We start from the raw sequence: 24,382 nt of genomic DNA, 5'->3' as shown, positions 1-24,382 counted from the left end.
CAGTGACTTTTTTTTTTTTTAATTTGAGACAGTGTCTTGCTCTGTTGCCCAGGCTGGAGTGCAGTGGTGCCATCATGGCTCACTGCAGCCTCAACTGCCTGGTTCAAGTGATCTTCCCACCTCAGCCTACTGAGTAGCTGGGAGTGCAGGTGCACACCACCACACTCAGCTAATTTTTGTACTTTTTTATGCAGACGGGGTTTCACCCTTTTGCCCAGGCTGTTCTCAAACTCCTGAGCTCAAGCGATCTACCCACCTCAGCCTCCCAAACTGCTGGGATTACAGGCATGTGCCACCATGCCTGGCCCCCATCACTGTTTTAACTAGTGTTACCATAGGTTTATTTTAACTCTTCTTGAATTTCTGAGAAATAGAATCATATACTCTTCTGCATCTGGTTTCCTTTGAGCATGCCTGAGAAATGTATCCATATTGTGCGTAGCAGTAATTCATTATCTTTTATTGCTATACAGTTTTCCATTATATGAATATGTTTATCCATACTTGATGGATATTTGGGTTGTTTCCAGTTTTTGGATATTAAGAACAAAAATACCTGAATATTCTTATTTCTGTTGGTTATTTATCTAAAAGTGTAATTGTTGGACATTGCATAGGCAGGTGTCTAACTTCAGTAGATGCTGGTGAAGCAGATGTACTCATTTACACTCTTAGCAAGAGTATATGAGTTCCAGTCTCTCACCAATATTTGGTGTTGTCAATCTTTTTACTTTTACCCATTCTAAAGGCTGTTTAATGGTTTTCATTGCCATTTAAATTTTGCATTTCCCTAGTGATTATGAAATTGAGCACCTGTTTATATGTTTATTGGCCATTTGGATATTCTTTTTTTGTGAAGTGCCTATTCAGACTTTTGTCCATTTTGAAGATAGGATTATCTTGCTTTTGCTTTGTAGGAGTTCTTTATATATTCTGGTTATGAATTCTTTGACAAATACATGTATTATAAATATTTTTCTTTTATTCTTGACATGCCGTTTCACTCTTGATGATTTTTGATGAACAGAAGTTCTTTTTTTTTTTTTTTTAAATCTGAGACAGGGTCTTACTCTGTCACCCAGGCTGGAATGCAGTGTTGCAGTCATGGCTCGCTGCAGCTGTAACCTCCCAGGCTCGAGTGATCCTTCCATCTCAGCCTCCTGAGTAGCTGGAACTACAGGCATGTGCTACCGTGTCCAGCTCCTTTTTAAATATTTTTATAGAGATGGGGTCCCACTGTGTTGCCCAGGCTGGTCTCGAACTCCTGGGCTCAAGTGATCCCCATGCCCTGGCCTTCCAAAGTGTTGGGATTACAGGCATGAACCACTGTGCCTGACCTTTTTTTTTTTTCTTTTTTCTTTTTCAAAGCAAATCCAGCCAGGCGCGGTGGCTCATGCCTGTAATCCCAACACTTTGGGTGGCCGAGGTGGGTGGATCACCTGAGGTCAGGAGACCAGCCTGACCAACATGGAGAAACCCCGCCTCTACTAAAAATACAAAATTAGCCTGGCATGGTGGCGCATACCTGTAATCCCAGCTACTCGGGAGGCTGAGGCAGAAGAATCGCTTGAACTCGGGAGGTGGAGGTTGCAGTGAGCCGAGATTGTGCCATTGCACTCCAGCCTGGGCAATGAGTGAAACTCCATCTCAAAAACAAAACAAAACAAAACAAAAAAACATGCTAATCCAGTGTGGTTCTTTATTTTTCTTTCATGTCAGATGGGTAATACGCTGACCTGGTAACAAGGTTCAAGGTGGCATATCTCACAGATGCGTGTGAACACCCAGTCATCATGCTCATGAGCTACAGTAGGATCAGAAGTTCTTAATTTTAATGAAGTACAGTTTATTAACGTTTTCATTTGTGGTTAGGACTACTTGTGTCCTCTTTGAAAAATCTTTGCCTACCCAAAGGTCGTGAATATATTCTCCTACTTAAATCTAGATGCTTTGTTTTTATCTTTGACATTTCAATCTATGATTCATTTCAAATTAATTTTGTGTATGGTGTGAGGTAGTCAAGGGTGTTATTCCCCCATTTGGTTATCAGATTGCCTCAGCATCATTTTGAAAATCATCCCTTTCCTATGGAATTGCAGTCGTGCATTTGTCATAAGCAGCTGACCATATGTTGAATCTCTGCCATTTATTTTTTTAGTAAAATCTGTGATATATTCCAGTAGACTCTAAGTTCCAGGAAAGTTTGGAATTTGCCCACTATACTGTACTGCCTAATTTGCCCACTATACTGTACTCATTGCCTAGCACAGTGTCAGGCACATAATAGACATTGAATTAATGTTTGCTGGTTGGAAGTTATAACTCAGAAAAATCCACAGCAAGTCTGAAAAATGTTGGTGAGTAAAAGAGAGTTAAGCTGTTCCCTAAGCATGTTGCCCAGCATGCTTAGATATGTAGTAGAACTGAAAGTGTTTTTATAGAATATTCTCAACTTCTAACTTCTAGAATTTCACCTGCTTCTACCTCCCCCATTATAAGAATTTGTCTGATCAAATGGTTCTACTACTAGGTGTGAGGTCTTTGGTCAGGGAATTTCTGTTTAGTTCTTAGAGCCAAGTTTTCCTCTTTCTTTTCTATTGTCATTATATATATATTTATATATATAAATATTTTACTGGGGACATTTTGTGAGAATCTGCTATTCTTCTGACACATGTAGTTATTTTTTGACTTTTATGTTTAGCCCTTCAGTTTCTGTAAAATGTGTAAATTCTAAATCTAACAAGTTAATTTAAAACAAAGGATGAATGTGAAAGAATCTCCTTTGTCAAACTGTTTATCTCATTTAGATGTTAAACGATAATTTTTACCACGTCTTTGGTTTTTGTAGAAATCATCACAGAAGGAAAAAGGAAAAAGTCATCTTCTGATTTATCGGAGGTATGCATTTGTTTTGCTTTTAACCTATTATCTTTGGAGTTACTGATATTGAAAGTATTTTGCTGTTTGTCTTTTTAATAACATTTTAAAGAAAACAGTATAAAACTTTAGTCAGTGTTTTGGGAGAGTGGTGTATTCTAATTAACTGAAGGTTAACCAGGAGACTTTTCTACCAACTTTGTTTAAATAGTTGACTAGTATACTTTCTGGACCAGATGACCAGTATACTTTCCAGAGCTCATTTTAGATTTTATTTAAAACATAGCACAACATTTCTTTGATGACTTAATCTATTAGAGTACCAATGTGCATTCATTAGTAATGCTATAGATGCAGAGTAGTTGTACTCAAGGTATGTGCTGAACATTACTATTGGGAATATGTCCTTTTAAGCCTCTTTTTTTCATTTATTTCTTCTACGTAAGCCAAGAGTAGCAAAACAAACAAAACGAAGTTTCTACCTATATAGGAAGTGTTTTAAAAAATTAATTCCTTTTAAGAAAGATAATCTTTTTCTTTTTTTTTAAGAGACAGGGTCTTGCTCTGTTGCCCAGGCTCAAGTACAGCTCACTGCAGCCTTGAACTCCTGGGCTTTAGGGATCCTCCTGCCTCAGCCTCCCATGTAGCTGGGAATACAGGGATGTGCCACCATGACCAGCTAATTTTAATTTTTTCTTGTAGAGACAGGGGTCTTGCTATGTTGCCCAGGCTGGTCTCACATTCCTGGCCTCAAGCAATCCTCCTGCCTTGGCCTCCCAAAGTGTTGGGATTATGGCATAAGCCACCATACCTGGCATATAGAGATAATTTTTTTTCTAGAATTTTGTTCTTTAAATGCAGTAATATCCCGATTTACATTATAAGAATTTATTAAACCCTTTTCTCTGAAGCAGTCTAAGTTATGCACAGAGAACTTTAATATGATACGTCTTCATGTTATATAGTTATAGCATTTAACAAAGAAGGAGAAGAAGTCATAAAGGAAGACAATGAGAGGAAATCAAGAGTACCTTAGAAGACCATATAGAAAGTATGGCTTTAGATACACTTTCTTTTTTGGCTTAAGATTTGCATGGTGTGGTTTCTCCATTTAAAACTCTGGATTTAGTTTAAGTGGGGTAAATAGGAGGTTAAAAAAAATCTTGTGCTGAGGCGGGCGGATCATCTTAGGTCAGGAGTTCAAGACCAGCCTGGCCAACATGGTGAAACCCCGTCTCTACAAAAATACAAAAATTGGCCGGGCGCAGTGGCTCATGCCTGTAATCCCAGCACTTTGGGAGGCTGAGGTGGGCAGATCACGAGGTCAGGAGATCGAGACCATCCTGGTTAACACGGTGAAACCCCATCTCAACTAAAAATACCAAAAATTAGCGGGGTGTGGTGGCAGGTGCCTGTAGTCCCAGCTACTCGGGAGGCTGAGGTAGAAGAATGGTGTGAACCTGGGAGGCAGAGCTTGCAGTGAGCTGAAATCATGCCACTGCACTCTAGACTGGGCGACAGAGCGAGACTCTGTCTCCAAGAAAAAAAAAAAAAATTAGCTGGGCATGATGGCAGGTGCCTGTAGTCCCAGCTACTTGGGAGGCTGAGGCAGGAAAATCGCTTGAACCCGGGAGGCAGAGGTTGCAGTGAGCCGAGATTGCGCCATTGCACTCCAGTCTGGGTGACAGAGCGAGACTCTGTCCCCCGCTGCCCCCTAAAAAAACCTTACATTGCCAGGATGAATACTATCATATCTACTTTGAAATACCTCTGTATTAACTACCACTATTTTTGTTTTTATTATATCCAGTGAAGTGAAATATCGTGCTTTAGACTATTGCATTATTCATGCAATTAATCTGAAATCCTGCCATTAGAAATTAATACTGAGTTAATCCATTTCTCTGATTTTTAGATGTACTACAGTGTTTCTTAAACTTTTTGTTTACAAGGAAGTTGAGACTTACAGAAAAGTTACAGAAATTTTACAGAGTTCCTGTAAAATTCACTCAGGTTCTCCTAATGTTATCTTATATAACTACGGTATGATTACAAAAAACAAGGAATTTATATTGATACAGTACCTTAAACCAGTGGTCCCCAACCTGTTTGGCACCAGGGACCAGTATCGTGGAAGACAGTTTTCCCATGGACAGGGGTCGGGAAGATGGTTTCGGGATGAAACTGTTCTACCTCAAATTTTCAGGCATTGGGTTCTCATGAGGAGCATGCAACCTAGATCCCTTGCATGCACAGTTCACAATAGTGTTTGTGCTCCTATGAGAATCTAATGCCACTGCTGATCTGACAGGAGGGGTAGTGCAGGCCCTAATTCTCCCGTGCTGCTCGCCTCCTGCTGTGTTGTCCTTGGCCTGGGGGTTGGGCACACCTGCTTTAAACTATAGACATCATTTGGATTTCTTCAGTTTCACTAATGTCCTTTTTCTGTTGCCAGATCCAATCCAGGATCCCACATTGCATTTAGTTGTTAGGTCTCCCTAGTTTTCTTAAGTCTATGACAATTCTTCAGTCTTTTTTCTTTCATGACCATGACACTCTTGAAGAAAACTGGACAGTATTTTGTAGAATATCTCTCACTTTGGGTTTGTTTCAGGTTTCTCAAGATTAGATTAAGGTTATGACTTTTTGGGAGGAATACCACAGAAGTGATGATGACCTTCTTAGTGCATTATATCAGGGGGTACATGATAGTGATATATCTTAATACTGGTAATATCAGCCTTGATTGTTTGGTTAAGATGGGATCTGCCTGTTTCCTCCATTGTAAAGTTACTTTTTTCCTCTTTATAATTAATAAATATCTTAGGGGAGATGCTTTGAATCTATGCAAATATACTATTTCTTCTCAAACTTTTGTTTACTATTTTAGCATCTATCAGTGTATCTTGCCTCCAAATTTATATATGTGGTATTTTGGTGGTTTTCTCTTTTGCCCATTCATTATAGATTTATGAATGTAAATTCTTCTATAAGGGGCCAGTGTGGTGGCTCACAACTGTAATCCTGGCACTTTGGGAGGCCAAGGTGGGAGGATCACTTGAGGTCAGGAATTTGAGGCCAGCCTGGGCAACATAGTGAGACCCCATATCTACAAAAAAAATTAGCTGGGCATGTTGGCATATGCCTGGAATCCCAGCTACTTGGGAGGCTGACATAGGAAGATCGTTTGAGCCAGGGGAGTTGAGGCTGTGATCAGCTGTGATCGCACCACTGCATTCCAGCCTGGATAACAGAGTGAGACACTGTCTCTAAAAAATAAAAATTCTTATGTAAGGCAGAGCTGATCCTCTTCCCCCACTTACTTACTTACTTATTTATTTATTTAGAGATCCTCCTGCTTCAGCTTCTCAAAGTGTGAGGATTCTAGGTGTGAGCCACTGTGCTTGGCTTCACTTATTTATTTGTATCAATATGGACTCATAGAATATTTAGTTTATTCTATGAGTTATAATCCACTACTGTCATTACAGATTTGTTGGTCAAAGTATTCCAGCCTTGGGAGATCTTTCATGTTGGCTGTACCCTTGTGACGTGCTCCTATCTTTTTTTTTTTGAACACTTACTTTCTGACACTGTATATTTTTTGGCACTGCAAGATGCTTATGTTGTGTTTTCCCTGCCCCAGGCTTGGAATCAACCACTTTCCCAGGGAGCCTTGGTTCTTTCAATTGAAGGATGATATTTAGAAACCCATGTCTGTGTGCTAGGTATACTTGCAACTGGGATGTCATTGTTTTTAGGCTTTCTCAACAGACAAGACTAGAAAAATATATGTTCACACATACAACATACATATGTCTATTTATTTTCCCACACAAACACATGTATCTATATTTATTTCTGTATCTCTATCTATATATCTATAAAAAATTAATACTGATACTTCTGATTCCGGTCCAACACCACAAGGCTTATTCTAGCTTTTCCTCTTTCCTTATTTTTTTCTGTCTCTCATTATCTACAATATATTTACTTATTTCTTAATCCCGTAATTTATATATAAAGTTGTGTTAGTGTGTTTAAAAAAGGTAGACTTTCTTAGAAAATTAGCATATTTCATTATTGTTAGTAGTTTATATTACTGCCTTTTCCCTCCAGGCTGCTAGTGGAAATAAGTTACCAAAAGGATAAGAGCTTTGATGGATATAGGGAGAAGATACTAATACGTGTTGAATTTAAAGTGTTTGGCCTGGGCCTGGTGGGTTGGCTCATGCCTATAATCCCAGCACTTTGGGAGGCCAAGGCGGGTGGATCACTTGAGGTCAGGACTTCAAGACCAGCCTGGCCAAGATGGTGCAAGCCCATCTCTACTGAAAATACAAAAATTAGCTGGGTATGGTGGTGCATTTTTGTAGTCCCATCTACTTCGGAGGCTGAGGTGGGAGGATTGTTTGAACTCGGGGGCGGAGGTTGCAGTTAGCTGAGGTTGTGCCACTGCACTTTCAGCCTGGGAAACAGAACGAGACTCTGTCTCAAAAAAAAAAAAAAAAAGTGTTTGAAGTGTTTGGCTGGGTGTGGGAGCTCATGCCTCTAAACCCAGCACTTAGGGAGGCCAAGATGGGAGGATTGCTTGAGCCACAGAGCCCAGGAATTTGGGACTAGCCTGGGCAACAAAGTAAGACCCTGTGTCTGCAAAAAATAAAAAAATTAGTCAGATATGATGGTGCATGCCTGTGGTCCCAGCTACACAGGAGGCTGATGCAGGAAGATTGCCTGGGCCCAAGAGGTAGAAGCAGAAGTAAGTTATGTTTGAGTCACTACACACCAGCCTAGGTGACAGAGCGAGACCCTGTCTCGAATAAATAAATACATGTTTAAGAAATATTTCTAAAATGACACTAGATTGTTGTAGAGATATTCTAAAGTTCAATTAAGAACTTATTTCACTGGGTGAATTAAGGCCACCCAGACACAACCAGAATTAATACTTTGGTGTGTATCCTTCTAGTTTATTTGTCTGTTTATAAGAAACATATTAAAAAATAGAAAACCACAAAATACTGTCTTGTAATCTTTTTTCCTACTTACCTATATATCATGAACATTATTTTCTGAAATCTAATTTATTAAAGCATTGGTCAGTAGATATTTATTGGGTATTCAACATGTATTGGACACTGTGTTAGGCATAAGTACCAGGGAAACAGTGGTGAACATTTTTTTCTTCGACTTTTATTTAAGCTCGGGGTACACTTGCAGGATGTGTAGGATCATTGCATAGGTAAATGTGTGCCATGGTGGTTTGCTGCAAGAACAACCCATCACCTAGATATTAAGGCCAGCATCCATTAGCTATTCTTCCTGATGCTCCCTCTACCGGTCTGACAGGCCCCAGTGTGTGTTGTTCCCCCATTGTGTCCATCTGTTCTCATCATTCAGCTCCCACTTAAAAGTGAGAACATGCATTGTTTGGTTTTCTGTTTCTGCATTAGTTTGCTGAAGATAATGGCTTCCAACTCCATCCATGTCCCTGCAAAAGACACGATTGTGTTCCTTTTTAGGGCTGCATAGTATCCTATGTATATATGTTTTATATTTTCTTTATTCAGTCTATCATTGATGGGGATTTGGGTTGATTCCATGTCTTTGCTATTGTGAATAGTGTTGCAGCAAACATGTGCATGCATATATCTTTGTAATAGAATGATTTATATTCCTTTGGGTATATACCCAGTAATGGTGTTGCTAGGTCAAATGGTATGTTTGCCTCTAGGTCTTTGAGGAATCACCACACTGTCTTCCACAATGGTTGAACTAATTTACAATCCCAGCAGTGGTGTAAAAGTGTTCCTTTTTCTCTGCTACATTGCCAGCATCTGTTGTTTTTTGACTTTTTAATAATAGCCATTCTGAGTGGTGTGAGATGGTGTCTCGTTGTCGTTTTGATTTGCATTTCTCTAATGATCAGTGATGTCGGCCACATGTGTGTCTTCCTTTAAGAACTGTTTGTTCATATCCTTTGCCCACTTTTTAATGGGAATTTTTTTTCTTATAAATTTATGTTCCTTGTAGACTCTGGATATTAGAGTTTGTCAGACGGATAGACTGCCAAATTTTTCTCCCAATCTGTAGGTTGTCTGTTCACTCTTTTGCTGTGCAGAAGTTCCTTAGTTTAATTAGATCCCATTTATCAATTTTTGCTTTTATCGCAATTGCTTTTGGCATTTTTGTTATGAGATATTTGCTTGTGCCTATGTCCTGAATGGTATTGCCTTGATTTTCTTGTAGGGTTTTTATAGTTTTGTGTTTTACATTTAAGTCTTTAATCCATCTTGAATTAATTTTTGTATATGGTATAAGGAAGGGGTACAGTTTCAATTTTTGCATATGGCTAGCCAGTTCTCCCAGCACCATTTATTAAATAGAGAATTATTTCCCCATTGCTTGTTTTTGTCAGGTTTGTCGAAGATCAGATAGTTGTAGGTGTGTGGTCTTATTTCAGAGTTCTCTGTTCTGTTCCATTGGTCTGTTCCATTGATTCTGTTCCAGGAATGCGTGGTATGGCATGATGGTTGTATAGATAAAATAGTAATTTTGACAAGAATCTGGAGTACTTCACTAGGGAGAGAAGGAAGAGCATTCTAGATTGTGGGAAGAGTATATGCAAAGGTTTAGAGATATAAAATAATATGATGTGTTTGAAGAAGGTTGATTTCATTCATTGTGGTTGGGTTGTAGTTTTGTAGTGATGTGATGTGAAAGAGCCCAAATGGTAAAGAGTTTTACAATTGTTAAGAGTTTTATCTGTAAGTAATGGCTACCATTGTTGAATTTTAAGTATTGCAGCCATAATTAGGTTTTATGTATTAGAGAACTCTGGGGCTGACATTTGAAAGGTTAAAAGGGGAAGAGACAGCAGACAAGAGAATAGTTAGGAAGCTCTTCTGATTCTTCATTCAACTTTCATTTGACTTTCAGAGTCAAGGAGAGGTTTTTTGTGAATAAAATTATATTTAATTGTATATAAATTAAGCACTGAATTTAAAACTCCTTAAAACAGTTAGCAAATTATTGATGCAGGGTAGTATAGTGGTTCTGTTAGCTGAATTAGCTCTTGTATATAGTTCAATTAAACTAATTATTTTCTCATCCTATTTTCAGATAAGAAAGATGTTAAATGCAAAACCAGAGGATGTCCATGTTCAATCACCACTGTCCAAATTCAGAAGCTCAGAACGCTGGACTCTCCCTTTGCAGGTGGTAAATAAAATTAATTTATTTTAAGTATACAGTTTTATTTGGTATGTTTAAAATATTGTAATAAAACTGAATGTTTATTTTCTGATATGTCCCTTTTTTGGTTTTCTTGTGTTATTTAATTGCAGATTTTAGTTCATTTTTGGCATGTTGAAATGATACTTTGAGGTTAGGCTCTTCGTTTAAAACTATGTATATATAATTATGCATAATTGATTACTTCATGAAATTTAAATCTTATTATTGTAAAATAAATTCTGTTTTAAGTTTACTAAAACGATAATGTTTATAGAATTGTTTGTTCTTATGCACTTGACCCATTTTAAGTTTTAAAATGTATGTTTTAAGGAGTAATATAACTATATTTCAAAAGCTATTTTGATTATAAATCTGGACTTTATCTCATTTTTAAGCATTATAATCAGACTTTGATGAATAAGGATTAAGATAGCAGTTTTTTGTGTTTTGTTTTTTAACTTTTATTTTAAGTTTAGTGGTACAAGTGCAGGTTTGTTCCATAGGTAACTTGTGTCATGGGGGTTTATTGTACAGATTATTTCATCGCCCAGATATTAAGCCTAGTACCCATTAGTTATTTTTCCTGTTCCTCTCCCTCCTCCCATCCTCCAACCTCTGAAAGGCCCCAGTGTGTGTTGTTCCCTCTATGTGTCCGCGTGTTCTGATCATTCAGCTCTCACTGATAAGTGAGAACATGCAGTATTTGGTTTTCTGTTCCTGTGTTAGTTTGCTGAGGATAATGGTCTCCAGCTTCATCCATGCAAAGGACATGATCTCATTCTTTTTTATGGCTGCATAGTATTCTGTGGTGTATATGTACCACATTTTCTTTATCTAAACTACCATGGAAGGGCATTTAGGTTCTTTAGAGTCAGGGTCTGTGTTGCTCACACTGGAGTGCAGTGGCACACTCATAGCTCATTGAATCCTTGAACTCCTGGGCTCGAGTGATCTTGCTGCCCAGCCTCCTGAGTAGCTGGGAATACAAGCAGGTGCCTGGCTACTTAAAATTTTTTTTCTGTAGAGGTGGGATCTTGCTATGTTGCCTAGGCTTGTCTTGAACTTCTGGCCTTAAGAAGTCTTCCTACTTTGGTCTCCCAGAGTGCTGGGATTAGAGGTATGAGCCATTATGCCTGGCCTTGGAATGTGGAAGTCCAAGATGAAGGTGCTGGCAGGGTTGTCTTCTGAGGCCTCTTTACTTGGATTGCAGATGGCTTTTTCTCTGGGCACACGTACCCCTAGTGTCTCTTCTTCTTATAAGGACATTAGTCCTATTGGATTGGGACTCCACCCACATGACCTCACTCAACCCCTTTTAAGGCCCTGGGAGTTGGGGCTTCAACATATGAATTTTGGGGGAATACAATTCAGTCCATAACTGTAGCATTTATTTTAGGATAACGTGTTTTAAGTAATCTTAAAATGTATATTTTTGGTTACAAGTAAAATTAACCCTTATTTATTTACGTATTTTTTTTTTGAGACAGGGTCTTGCTCTGTCACCCAGGCTGGAGTGCACTGGCACACTCACGGCTCATTGCAGCCTCAGCTTCCTGGGCTCAAGCTGTGCTCCCACCTCAGCCTCCTGAGTATCTCGGATTAGAGGCATGCACCACCATGCTTAGCTAGTTTCTAAAATTTTTTTGCAGAGACAAAGTTTTGCTGTGTTGCTTAGGTGAACCTCCCACCTCAGCCTCCTGAAGCGCTGGGTTTACAGGCGTGAGCCCCCGCACTTGGCTCTATTAACCATTTTTTTTTTTTTGAGATGGCGTTTTGCTCTTGTTGCCCAGGCTGGAGTGCAATGTCGCGATCTCGGCTCACCGCAACCTCTGCCTTCCGGGTTCAAGCGATTCTCCTGCCTCAGCCTCCCCAGTAGCTGGGATTACTGGCATGTGCCACCACGCCCGGCTAATTTTGTATTTTTTAGTAGAGGTGTGGTTTCTCCATGTTGGTCAGGCTGGTCTCGAACTCCCAACCTCAGGTGATCCACCTGCCTTGGCCTCCCAAAGTGCTGGTATTACAGGCATGAGGCACCGTGCCCGACCTCCTATTAACCATTTCTAAAATTTGTTCTTGGAGGAGAGATTTGTCCTCAGTATTCTTTGCTTAAAATTAGTGTAAAAGAACATTTAGAAATTTTGTTATTAAATAATACATTTGTTGGTTTGTATTGGATACAAAGAGTACATAAAAAGGGAAACAATAAAGGAGACCAGGTGACTTCTGTTTACTTAAAAAGAAAATAATATATTTGCATAAGGTTAGAAAATTTGGGCTGTGTAGAAAGATACAAGGTGGGCTGTGTGTGGTGGCTCACACCTGTTATCCTAGCACTTTGAGAGGCTGAGGTGGGAGGATCTCTTGAGCCCAGGAGTTGGAGACCAGCCTAGGAAATATAGCGAGATCTTGTTTCTACTAAAAATTAAAAAATAATCTAGGCGTGGTCTTGTGCACCTGTAGTTCCAGCTACTCAGCAGGCTGAGGTGGGAGGATCTCTTGAGCCCAGGATTTGGAGACCAGCCTAGGAAATATAGCGAGATCCTGTTTCTACTAAAAATTAAAAAATAAGCTAGGCGTGGTCTTGTGCACCTGTAGTTCCAGCTACTCAGGAGGCTGAGGTGGGAGGATCCTTTGAGCCCAGGAGTTCAAGATTAAAGAAAGCTATGATTGTGCCACTATACTCCAGCCTGGGAAACAATGAGACCCTGTCTCAAAAAAAAAAAAAAAAGTATAAAATGAAGCAAATAAAATCTCGTTCTGTCCTTTTTCTCTAAAGGCAACCACTATTAATGAGTTTTTTTCATTTATTTCTAGAAAAAAGCATATTTCCATATATATGGGTTTATACTGTTTTTTGATATTCGCAAAAGTTAAGTGATACTTAAATTTTGGGAAATCGAAATCCTGTTTGAGATTGGAAGTGGCATATGTCAGCCTTACTGTGCTCTGTGGTTGGCTTAAAGTTCACCATATTTGCTAAATATTTGCTCATACTTTGTGTAGTGTTTGAGGCTGTGCAAGTATCTTGCCGCATTTCCACTACTCAACTTTTTTGTTGTTGTTTTTAGTGGTTTTCAATGGAAGAGAAAGGAATAAATGCCCCTTTCCATAGTCTTTAGGAGAATTTTAACTCATTTATTGATTTGTTTGTGATTTTTATTGACATATAGTTACATTAAACAGGCAATCTTAAGAGTAAAGTTAGATGAGCTCTGACTAGAGTAACATATTGTCATGCTCCAGAAATTTTCCTTGTTTTCATTTTATCTTTTAAAAAAATCAAAAGAATTTAATATATTTTTAATTAATTCATTTTTCTTTTTTATGTGACTCAAGTATATGACTCAACCATTGTGTCTTTTCCTCTTCTGTTGCTTGTACCTCCACCATGATTCTGGCAACCATTCTTCTGATTTCTGTTTCCATAGTTTTGCCTGTTCTTAAATTTCATAAAAATGGAATCACATAATATGTACTCTTTTGTGTTTGGCTTCTTTTTATTCAGTATAATATTGCTAACATTTATCCATGTTTTGCATCTATCACTGGTTTGTTTCTTTTTATTGCTATGTAATATTCCATTATGTGAATATATTATGGTTTATTTAATTCTCTATTGACTGACTTTTAGGCTCTTTTTTTTTTTGTTTGTTTGTTTGTTTTTTTTTTGAGACGGAGTTTCCCCCTTGTTGCCCAGGCTGGAGTGCAATGGCACGATCTTGGCTCACCACAACCTCTGCCTCCCGGATTCAAGCGATTTCTCCCACCACAGCCTCCCGAGTAGCTGGGATTACAGGCATGCACCACCACATCGGGCTAGTTTTGTATTTTTAGTAGAGATGGGGTTTATCCATGTTGGTCAGGCTGGTCTTGAACTCCTGACCTCAGGTGATCCGCCTGCCTTGGCCTCCCAAAATGCTGGCATTACAGGCGTGAACCACTGTGCCCGGCCTGGGCTTGGTTTTAATTTGCATTTTTGTGATGACTAATGACGTTAAAAACATTTTCTGTGGCTGTTAGGTGGAGTGTTCTGTAGATGTCTATTAGGTCCAGTTAATCACTTCCGAGTTTAAGTGAGAGTCTCTTTGTGAGCTTTCTGCCTCAATGATCTGTCTAATGCTGTCAGTGGGGTGTTGAAGTCTTTCACTATTATGATGTGGTTGCCTAACTAAGTCTTTTTGTAGGTCAAGCAAAACTTGTTTTATGAATCTGGGTGTACCAATAGTGGGTGCATATATAATTAGTTAAGTCTTTTTGTTGGATTTTACCATTTATCATTATGTAATACCCATCTTTGTCCTTCTTAATTGTTATTTGTTTAAAGTCTATTTTATCTGATATAAGAATAGTGGCTCCTGCTCTTTTTTATTTTCTGTTTGCATGGTAGATCTGTCTCTTTCCCTTTACTTTGAGCCTGTGAATGTTGTTAGATGTGAGATGGGTATCTTGAAGATAGCAGATGGTTGGGTCTTGTCTTTTTATCCACCTTGACACTCCATGTCTTTTAAGAGGGACGTTTAGCCATTTATACTCAGGATTAGTATTGATATGTGAGATTTTGATCCTGTCATTATGTTGTTGGTTGTTGTATAGACTTGACTGTATAGTTGCTTTGTAGTGTCTGTGGGCTATGTGCTTAAGTGTATTTTTGTGGTAGTAGGTGTCATTCTTCTGATTCCATGTTTAGTACTCCCTTAAGGACCTCTTTCTTGTAAGGCTGGTGTAGTTGAAGCAAATTCCCTCAGTATTTGCTTGTCTGAGAAGGATTTTATTTCTCTTTCACTTATGAATGTTGGGCTGGTAGGATATGAAATTCTTAGTTGTAATATCTTTTCTTTAAGGTTGCCTAAAAGAGGCCCCCAATCTCTTCTGGTTTGCAAGGTTTCTGCCAAGAAGTCTGCTGCTAGCCTGATGGGAGTTCCTTCTGTACATGACCTGACCCTTCTCTCTAGCTGCCTTTAAGATTTTTTCTTTTGCGTTGACTTTGGTGAATTTGATGACGATGTGCCTTGGCGCAGGCAAGGCTCTCTCTGTCGCCAGGCTGGAGTACAGTGGTGCGATCTTGGCTCACTGCAACCTCCACCTCCCAGGTTCAAGCAATTCTCCTGCGTCAGCCTCCCAAGTAGCTGGGACTACAGGCACATGCTGCCATGCCCAGCTAATTTTTTGTGTTTTAGTAGAGACAAGGTTTCACTGTGTTGCCCAGGCTGGTCTCGAACTTCTGAGCTCAGGCAATCCAGCTGCCTCGGCCTCCCAAAGTGCTGGGATTGCAGGCATGAGCCACCGCGCCTGGCCTGCATGTCAACCTTTCTATTGTGATTAGGGAAATTTTTGTGGACCATATCCTCAAATGTATTTTCCAGTTTGCGTATTCTCTCCCATTCTTTCTCAGGAATGCCAGTGAGTGATAGATTTAGTCTCTTTACATAATCTCACATAAATTATCCCTCCACTGATGAAATGTTTCTATACCTATAAAACTCTGAAGACTCTGATGAAGAGTTCCTAGAACTGATAAAGGACTTTAGCAACCTTTCAGGATACAAAATCAATGTAGAAAAAATCAGTAGCATTTCTAGACACCAAATAATGTCCAGGCTGAGAGTCAAATCAAGAACACAATCCCATTTGCAATAGGCTTAAAAAAAATGAAATACCTAGGAGTACAGTTGACTAAGAAGGTGAAAGAGTCTACAAGAAGAACCACAAGACACTGCAGAAAAAAATCAGAGATGACACAAATAAATGGAAAAACAATCCATGCGCGTGGATTGGAAGCATCAGTGTCACAAAAATGACCATACTGCCCAAAGCAGTCTACAGATTCAATGCTATTCCTATCATACTATCAATGTCATTTTTCAGAGAATTAGAAGAAACTATTCTAAAATTCATATGGAACAAAAAAGAGCCCAAATAGCTAAAGCAATCCTAAACAAAAAGAATAAAGCTGGAGGCATCACAGTACCTGACTTCAAATTATATTATAAGCCCACAGTAACCAAAACAGCATGGTACAGGTATAAAAACAGACACATAGAGCAATGGAAAAGAACAGAAAACTCAGAAATAATGCTGCACACCTACAACCATCTGATCTTTGAAAGGCTGACAAAAACAAATAATGGGGAAAGGATTCCCTATTCAATAAATGCTGCTGGGACAGCTGGCTAGCCATATGCAACAGAATGAAACTGGACCCTTACCTTTTACCATATACAAAAATTAACTCAAGATGGATTAAAGATTTAAATGTAAAACCTCAAACTATAAAAATCTTAGGAAAAATACCTAGGAAATACCCTTCTTGTTATCAGCCTTGGCAAAGAATTTTTGGCTAATTCCCCAAAAGCAATTGCAACAAAAACAAAATTGACAAATGAAACTTAATTTAATTAAAGAGCTTCTGCACAGCAAAAAAACAAAACAAAATCCCTAAGGAATGGGAGAAAATATTCACAAACTATTGTCTCTGACAAAGGTCTAATATCCAGATTCTGTAAGGAACTTAAATCAACAAATGAAAAACCAATAACCTTATTAAAAAATAATATATGTTTTTACATATATATATGTAAATGGTAAGTCTATTTGTTTTAAGGTATGGTTTAAATCCATTGTGTCTTTTTTGACTTTCTGTCTTCATGACCTGTATAGTGCTGTCAGTGGAGTATTAAAGTCCCCCACTAATATTACGTTGCTGTCTATTTCATTTCTTAGGTCTATTAGTAATTGTTTTATGAATTTGGGAGTGCCAGTGTTAGGTGTGTATATGTTTAGGATTGTGATATTTTCCTGTTGGACAAAGCCTTTTACCATTATATAATGCCCATCTTTGTCTCTTTTAACTGCTGTTGCTTTAAAATTTGTTTTGTCTCATATAAGAATAGCTACTCCTGCTCGCTTTTGGTGTCCATTTGCATGAAATGCCATTTTCCACCCCTTTACCTTAAGTTTATGTGATTCCTTATGTGCTAGGTGAGTTTTCTGAAGGCAGCAGATGGTTGGTGAGTTCTTATCCATTCTGCAGTTCTGTATCTTTTAAATGGAGCATTTAGGCCATTTACATTCAATGTTAGTATTGAAATGTGAGGTACCATTGCATTCATCATACTTTTGTTGCTGGTGTACTTGGGTTTTTTGTTTTTGCTTTTTAACTTGTATTTTTATTTTATAGGTTCTGTGTAATTTATGCTTTGAAGAGGTTCTGTTTTGATGTGTTTCCAGAATTTGTTTCAAGATTTAGAGCTCCTTTTCTCAGTTCTTGTAGTGGTGGCTTGGTAGTGGCAAATTTTCTCAGCGTTTGCTTGTCTGAAAACAACTGTATCTTTCCTTCATAAATGATACTTACTTTCGTTGGATACAGAATTCTTGTCTGATAATTGTTTGTTTGAGGAGGCTGAAGATAGCCCCAATTCCCTTCTAGCTTCTAGGGTTTCTACTGATAAATCCACTGTTAATCTGATAGGTTTTCCTTATAGGTTAGCTGGTGCTTCTGTCTCACAGCTCTTAAGATTCTTTCCTTTGTCTTGTCTTTCGGTAACCTGATTGCCGTGTGCCTAGGTGAAGATCTTTTTGTGATGAAATTTCCAGGTGTTCTTTGTACTTCTTGTGTTTGGATGTCTAGGTCTCTAGCAAGGCCAGGGAAGTTTTCCTTGGTTATTCCAGAATATGTTTTCCAAGCTTTTAGAATTCTCTTCTTCCTCAGCAACACTGATTATTCTTATGTTTGGTCGTTTAACATAATCTCAGACTTCTTGGAGACTCTGTTCATATTTTCTTGTTCTTTTGTCTTTGTTGGATTGGGTTAATTCAAAGACCTTGTCTTCGAGTTCTGAATTTCTTTCTTCCTACTTGTTTAATTCTATTGCTGAGACTTTCCAGAGCATTTCACGTTTCTAAAAGTGTGTCCAAAGTTTCCTGAACTTTTTATTGTTTTTTTTCTTTAAGCGATCTATTTCCTTGAATATTTCTCCCTTCACTTCTTGTATCATTTTTTGGATTTCCTTGCATTGGACTTCACCTTTCTCTGGTCCCTCCCTGATTAGCTTTATGACTATCCTCCTGAATTATTTTTCAGGTAAATCAGGGATTTCTTCTGGGTTTGGATCCATTGCTGGTGAACTAGTGTGATTTTGGTGGGGGGTTGTTGAAGAGCCTTGGTTTGTCATATTATCAGAGTTGTTTCTGGTTCCTTCTCATTTGGGTAGGCTCTGTCAGAGGGAAGGTCTAGGGCTGAAGGCTGTTGCTCAGATTCTTTTGTCCCATGGCATATTCCCTTGATGTAGTACTCTCCCCCTTTTCCTATGGATGTGGCTTCCTGTGAGCTGAACTGCAGTGATTGTTGTCTCTCTTCTGGGTCTAGCCACCCAGCGAGTCTTCCCAGCTCTGGCCTCATACTGGGGGTTGTCTGGACAGAGTCCTGTGATGTGAGTCATCGATGGATCTCTCAGCCGTGGATACCAATGCCTTTTCCAGTGGAGGTAGTGGCGGGGTGCAATGGACTCTATGAGGGTTCTTAGCTTTGGTGTTTTAATGTTCTATTTTTGTGCTGGTTGACCTCCTGCCAGGAGGTGACCCTTTCCAGAAAGCATCAGCTATGGTAGGATAGAGAGGCACTGGCGGTGGGAGAGACTCTAGAACTCCCAAGGTTATATGTCCTTTGTCTTATGCTACCAGGGTGGATAGGGAAGGACCATCAGGTGGAGGTGGGGCTAGGCGTGTCTGAGCTCAGATTCTACTTGGGTGGGTCTTGTTTTGGCTGCTGTGGGGGGTGTGGGTGAGATTCCCAGGTCATTGGAGTTGGGTACCTAGGAGGATTATGGCTGCCTTTGCTGAGTCATGCAGGTTGTCAGGGCAGTGGGGGAAAGCTGACAGTCACAGACCTCACCCAGCTACCAGGTAAAATGAAGGGCCGGTCTCTGTCCCACTGTGCTCCCCTCAACAGTCCCAAGTCTGTTTCCAGTCTGAGGGTGTGAATGGGCTTCTCACCCCGTTCAAATGGTTAGAAAGTTCTGCTAGAGATTTCCTTCTCCCTGTGGAGTTATACCCCTGCTCCTCTGGTCATCCACCCAATGGATTCCTGTGGTGCCAGGCAGGAATGGCTTGCTAGGGGACGCAGCGAGCTCCCAGGGCCTTTTTGCTGCTTCCTCTACCCCTGTATTTCACCTGGCTCTCTAAATTGGCTCAGCTCCAGGTTAGGTCGGAAACTTCTCCCGCAAACAGACCTTCAGCTTCTCCATTGGGGGCACGTGTTCGGGAGAGGGAGGTCTCCCTTTCCCACTTCCGCAGTTGGGGCACTCACAGTATTTGGAGTGTCTCCTGGGTCCTGCAGGAGCAGTCCACATCCTTTAGAGGGTCTGTGGGCCCTCTCGGGATTGCTGGTTTGTTGTTGCTGTCGATCTGGGGCTAAAATCCACAATGAGAGCTTCTGCAAGCTGCTCTGCATGTAGCTGCAATCTGGTCCTGCCTCCTGTCCACCATGATGATTTCAAGCTGTTCATTTTCTTACTGTTGAGTTGTAAGAGTTCTTCGTATATTTAGATAACAGTCCTGTAGCAGATACGTCATTTTCAAATATTTTCTCTCAGTCTTTGGCTTGCCTTCTCATTCTCTTGACATTGTCTTTCCAGAGCAGAAATTTTTAATTTTAATGAAGCCCAGCTTATCAATTCATTCTTTCATGGATTGTGGCTTTGGTGTCATGTTTAAAAAGCCATTGATAGACTCAAAGTCATCTAGATTTTCTCCTATGTTATCTTCTAGGAGTTTTATGGTTTTGCATTTTGCATTCAGGTTTGTGATCCAGTTTGAGTTAATTTTTTTTTTTAGACAGAGTCTTGCTCTGTTGCCCAGGCTGGAGTGCAGTGGTGTAATTTCAGCTTACTGCAACCGCCGTCTCCTGGGTTCAAGCAATCTCATGCCACAGTCTTCTGAGTAGCTGGGATTACAGGCACCTGCCACCATGTCTGGACCTGGCTAATTTTTGTATTTTTAGTAGAGGTGAGGTTTCACCATGTTGGCCAGGCTGGTCTCAAACTCCTGACTTCAAGTGATCAGCCAGCCTCGGCCTCCCAAACTGCTGGGATTACAGGTGCAAGCCACCATGCCCAGCCCAGTTTGTGTTAATTTTTATGAAGGATGTGAGGTCTTTGTCCAGATCATTCTTTTGCATGTGGATATTCAGTTGCTCTAGCACAGTTTGTTGAAAATACCGTTTTCTTTTTAATAATTTGAACTTTCAGACTCAGCTAGTACATATGCAGGTTTGTTACATGGGTATACTGCTTGATGCTGAGGTTTAGGGTACTATTATACCGTCACGCAGGTAGGAAGCATAGTATCCAATAGTTAGTTTTTCAACCCTTTTCCCACCCCCTTTATTCCCCACTAGTAGTCCCCAATGTCTGTTTTTGCCATCTTTATGTCCATGATTACCCAATGTTTAGCTCCCACACTGGATGCTCATGGACATAAAGATGGCATGGGTGGCCATAAGTGAGAACATGTAGTATTTTGTTTTCTGTTCCTGCATTAATTAGCTTAGGTGATCCTATGTTGCTGCACAGGACATGATCTTGTTCTTTTTTTATGGCCGCATAGCATTCCATGGTGTGTATGTACCACTTTTTTTTAATCCAGTCCACCACTGATGGGCACCTAGGTTGATTCCATGTCTTTGCTATTGTAAATAGCGCTGCAGTAAACATTTGACTGCATGTGTCTTTTTGGCAGAATGATTTATTTTCTTTTGGACATATACTCAGTAATGGGATTGCTGGTTCAAATGGTAGGTCTATTTTAAGTTCTTTGAGAAATTTCCAAACTGCTTTCCACAGTGGCAGAACTAATTCCCACCAACAGTGGATAAGCATTCCCTTTTCTTTACAGCCTTGCCAGCATTCGTTGTTGTTGTTTTGACTTTTTAGTAATAGCCATTCTGACTGGTGTGAGATGGTATCTCCTTGTGGTTTTGATATGGATTGAAAGGAACTTTTTTCATTCTATTGCTTTTGCCTCTTGGCCAAAGATCAGTTGACTGTATTTATTTGGGTCTATTTTTGGGCTGTATGTTCTGTTTCTTTGATCTATTTATTAAAAAAAATAAAAAGATAGGTCACCATAGTGTCTAAGAAAAAATAAAAAAATATTCTTTCACCCATACCACACTCTCTTGATTAGTGTAGCTTTATAATAAGTCTTGAAGTTTGGCAGTGTCAATCCTCTATGTTTTTCTCTTTAAAAATTGTGTTTTTTATGCCTAGTCGTTTGCTTCTCTATAAACTTTCTAGTCAGTTTGTTGATATCCACAAAGTAACTTGCTGGGATTTTGATTGACATTGCATTGAATCTGTTGATCAACTTGTGAAGACATGACATCTGAATAATATTGACTCTTCTTATCCATGAACATGGAATATTTTTCTGTGTATTTGGTTCTTTGATTTCTTTCATCACAGTTTTGTAGCTTTCCTCATACAGATCTTGTACATATTTTGTTAGAGTTATACCAAAGTATTTCTTTCTTTTTTTTTTTTTTGTTGAGACAGAGTCTCGCTCTGTCGCCCAGGCTGGAGTGCAGTGGTGCAATCTCGGCTCACTGCAAGCTCCGTCTCCTGGATTCATGCCATTCTCCTGCCTCAGCCTCCCGAGTAGTTGGGACTACAGGTGCCCGCCACCACACCTGGCTAATTTTTTTTTGTATTTTTAGTAGAGACAGGGTTTCACCTTGTTAGCCAGGATGGTCTCGATCTCCTGACCTCATGATCTGCCCACCTCGGTATCCCAAAGTGCTGGGATTACAGACATGAGCCACTGCGCCTGGCCAAGTATTTCATTTTTTATGTGCTAATGTAAACGATATTGTGTTTTTAATTTCAAATTCCAGTTATTTATGCAGGCATATAGGAAGGTGATTGACTTTTGTATATTAATCTTGTATCATGCAACCTCGCTGTAATTGCTTATTGGTTTCAGTTTTTTTGTTCATTCTTTTGGAATTTCCACATCGACAGTTACGTCATCTGCAAACAAAGACAGTTTTATTTCCCAATCAGCATATCTTTTTAAAAAGTTATAAATATTTGTATATATTTATGGCATACATGTGATATTTTGTTACATGTGAAGAATGTGTAATGACCAAATCAGGGTGTTGAGGATATCCATCATCACAAGCATTTATTATTTCTATGTATTGAGAACATTTCAAGTTCTTACTTCTAGTTACTTTGAAATATACAATACATTGATGTTAACTATAGTCACCGTATTCTACTACTGAATATTAGAACTTACTCCTTCTATCTAGCTGTATGTTTGTAGCCATTAACCAACCTCTCTCCATTGTGACCTCTCCCCTCTACACCCTTCCCAGCCTCTAGTATCTATAATTCTACCCTCTACCTTCATGAGATCAACTTTTTCAGCACCCACATATGAGTGAATACATGGAATATTTTTCTTTCTGTTTCTGGCTTACTTCACTTAACATAATGACCTTCAGTTGCGTCCATGTTTCTGTACATGACAGAATTTTATTCTTTTTTATGGCCAAATTATGTTTAATTGTGTAAATACACCATATTTTCTTTATCCGTTTGTCCATTGATGGGCAGTTTGGTTGGTTCTATATCATTGCTGTTGTGAGTAGTGCTGCAGTAAACATGGGAGTGTATGTATCTTATTGAAATATTGTTTTCCTTTCCTTTGGATAAATACCCAGTAGTGGGATTACTGTATCATGGGTTAGTTCTATTTTTAGTTTTTTTTTTTTTTTGGGGAAATCTCCATACTGTTTTTCATAATAGCTATACTAATTTACATTCCCACCAACAGTGTATGTGAGTTCCTTTTTTCCTGCATCCTCACCAGCATCTGTTTTTTTTTTTTGTCTTTCTGATAATAGCTATTCTGACTGGGATAAGACGATATCTCATTGTGGTTTTATTTACATTTCCCTAGTGGTTAGTGATGTTGAGCATTTTTTCATGTACCTGTTGGCCATTTGTATGTCTTTTAAGAAATGTCTATTCATGCCCTTTGCCCACTGTTTAACGGGATTTGTTGTTTTTGTTGAGTTTTTGAGTTCCTTGTGTATTCTGGATATTAGTCCCTTATCAGATGAGTATTTTGCAAATATTTCTCCTATTCTTTAGACTGTCTCTTCATTCTATTGATTGTTTCCTTAGCCGTACAGAAGCCATTGTCTATTTTTGTTGCTTTGCTTTTGAGGTCTTAGTCATAAAATCTTTGCCTAGACCGATGTCCTGAGGTGTTTCCTTTTAGTAGTTTTATAGTTTCAGGTATTATATTTAAGTTGTCAATCCATCTTAAGTTGATTTTTGTATATGGTGAGGAATAGGGGTCTGGTTTTATTTTTCTGCGTATGGATATCCTGTTTTCTCAGCACCATTTATTGAAGAGGGTGTTCCTTACCCAGTGTATGTTAGGGTGCCTGAGTTGAAAATCATTTTACTTTAAATACGTGGATTTATTTATGAGTTCTTTATTCTGTTCCATTGCTCTGTGGGTCTGTTTTTAATACCAGTACTATGCTGTTTTGGTTACATTGCCTTATAATATAGTTTGAAGTCAGGTAGTATGATGCCTCTAGCTTTGTTCTGTTTTCTCAGGAATGTTTTGGCAATTTGGATTCTTGTTTCCATACAAATTTTAGGTTTATTATCTTTCATTGCTATGAAATAGTCATTGGTCTTTTGATAGGGATTGCATTGAATCTGTAGATTGCTGCATAGTATGGTCATTTTAACAATATGAATTCTTCCAGTTCATAAGCATGATATATCTTGCATTTGTTCCTATCCTCTTCAGTTTTTTCCATTAGTGTTTTGTAGTTTTCCTCATGGAGGTCTTTTACTTCTTTGGTTAAATTTATTCCTAGTTTTTTTTGTTTGTGTGTGTGTGTGTGTGTTTTTTTTTTTTTTTTTTTTTTTTTTTTTTGTAGCTGTTGTAAGTGGAATTGCTATCTGGATTTCATTTTCAGTTAGTTCATTGTTGGTGTATAAAATCACTACTTTTTTTTTTTTTTTTGACAGAGTCTCACTCTGTTGTCCAGGCTGGAGTGCAGTGGCATGGTCTCGGCTCACTGCATCCTCCACTTTCTGGGCTCAGGTGATCCCACCTCAGCCTCCCTATTAGCTAGCACATAATCACTACATTTTTGATGTTGATTTTGTGTCGTTCATCATATCTGCATATGAGATCTGAGTCTTTCTTTTTTTTTTTTGACACAGTTTCACTCTGT

General features: G+C 39.0%; 1 protein-coding gene and 1 non-coding gene across 19 annotated transcripts in view, besides 2 other annotated features; one reads left to right on the top strand and one right to left on the bottom strand.

Annotated features, from left to right (window-relative positions):
• SENP7 (SUMO specific peptidase 7) overlaps positions 1-24,382 on the top strand; it is a 189,008-nt gene that overhangs the window by 9,242 nt on the left and 155,384 nt on the right. For 8 of the 18 annotated variants that reach the window (XR_007095713.1, XM_011513042.4, XM_011513041.4 and 5 more), the window contains exons 2-3: positions 2,852-2,901; positions 10,003-10,101. Coding sequence is in view for 16 of the 18 variants with exons in the window: in XM_011513042.4 (XP_011511344.1) it covers positions 2,852-2,901; positions 10,003-10,101 (149 nt within the window). In the remaining 2 variants the exon portion in view is untranslated. The remainder of the gene's footprint in view (positions 1-2,851; positions 2,902-10,002; positions 10,102-24,382) is intronic. The other 10 variants (XR_007095714.1, XM_005247662.6, NM_001282801.2 and 7 more) reach the window with 3 other exon arrangements.
• Positions 1,714-1,816, bottom strand: LOC124906362 (small nucleolar RNA U13). The gene has a single exon (XR_007096329.1). It is a non-coding gene; the product is annotated as a small nucleolar RNA U13 (small nucleolar RNA).
• Positions 18,402-19,601: an enhancer, noted in NCBI's record as "MED14-independent group 3 enhancer chr3:101203214-101204413 (GRCh37/hg19 assembly coordinates)". NCBI's record gives its function as "activates an origin of replication core promoter dependent on BRD2, BRD4, P300/CBP and CDK7 cofactors, and independent of MED14, by STARR-seq in HCT116 cells {active_cell/tissue: HCT116}" and the evidence as "EXISTENCE:reporter gene assay evidence [ECO:0000049][PMID:35650434]".
• Positions 18,616-19,238: an enhancer, noted in NCBI's record as "H3K27ac hESC enhancer chr3:101203577-101204199 (GRCh37/hg19 assembly coordinates)". NCBI's record gives its function as "activates a minimal SCP1, AML or CMV promoter by ChIP-STARR-seq in primed H9 embryonic stem cells {active_cell/tissue: H9 hESC(primed)}" and the evidence as "EXISTENCE:reporter gene assay evidence [ECO:0000049][PMID:30033119]".

This window comes from Homo sapiens, chromosome 3 (genome assembly GCF_000001405.40).
Source record: "Homo sapiens chromosome 3, GRCh38.p14 Primary Assembly".
NCBI classification, from domain to species: domain Eukaryota; kingdom Metazoa; phylum Chordata; class Mammalia; order Primates; family Hominidae; genus Homo; species Homo sapiens.
This window is presented reverse-complemented; position numbering and strand designations above follow the sequence as displayed.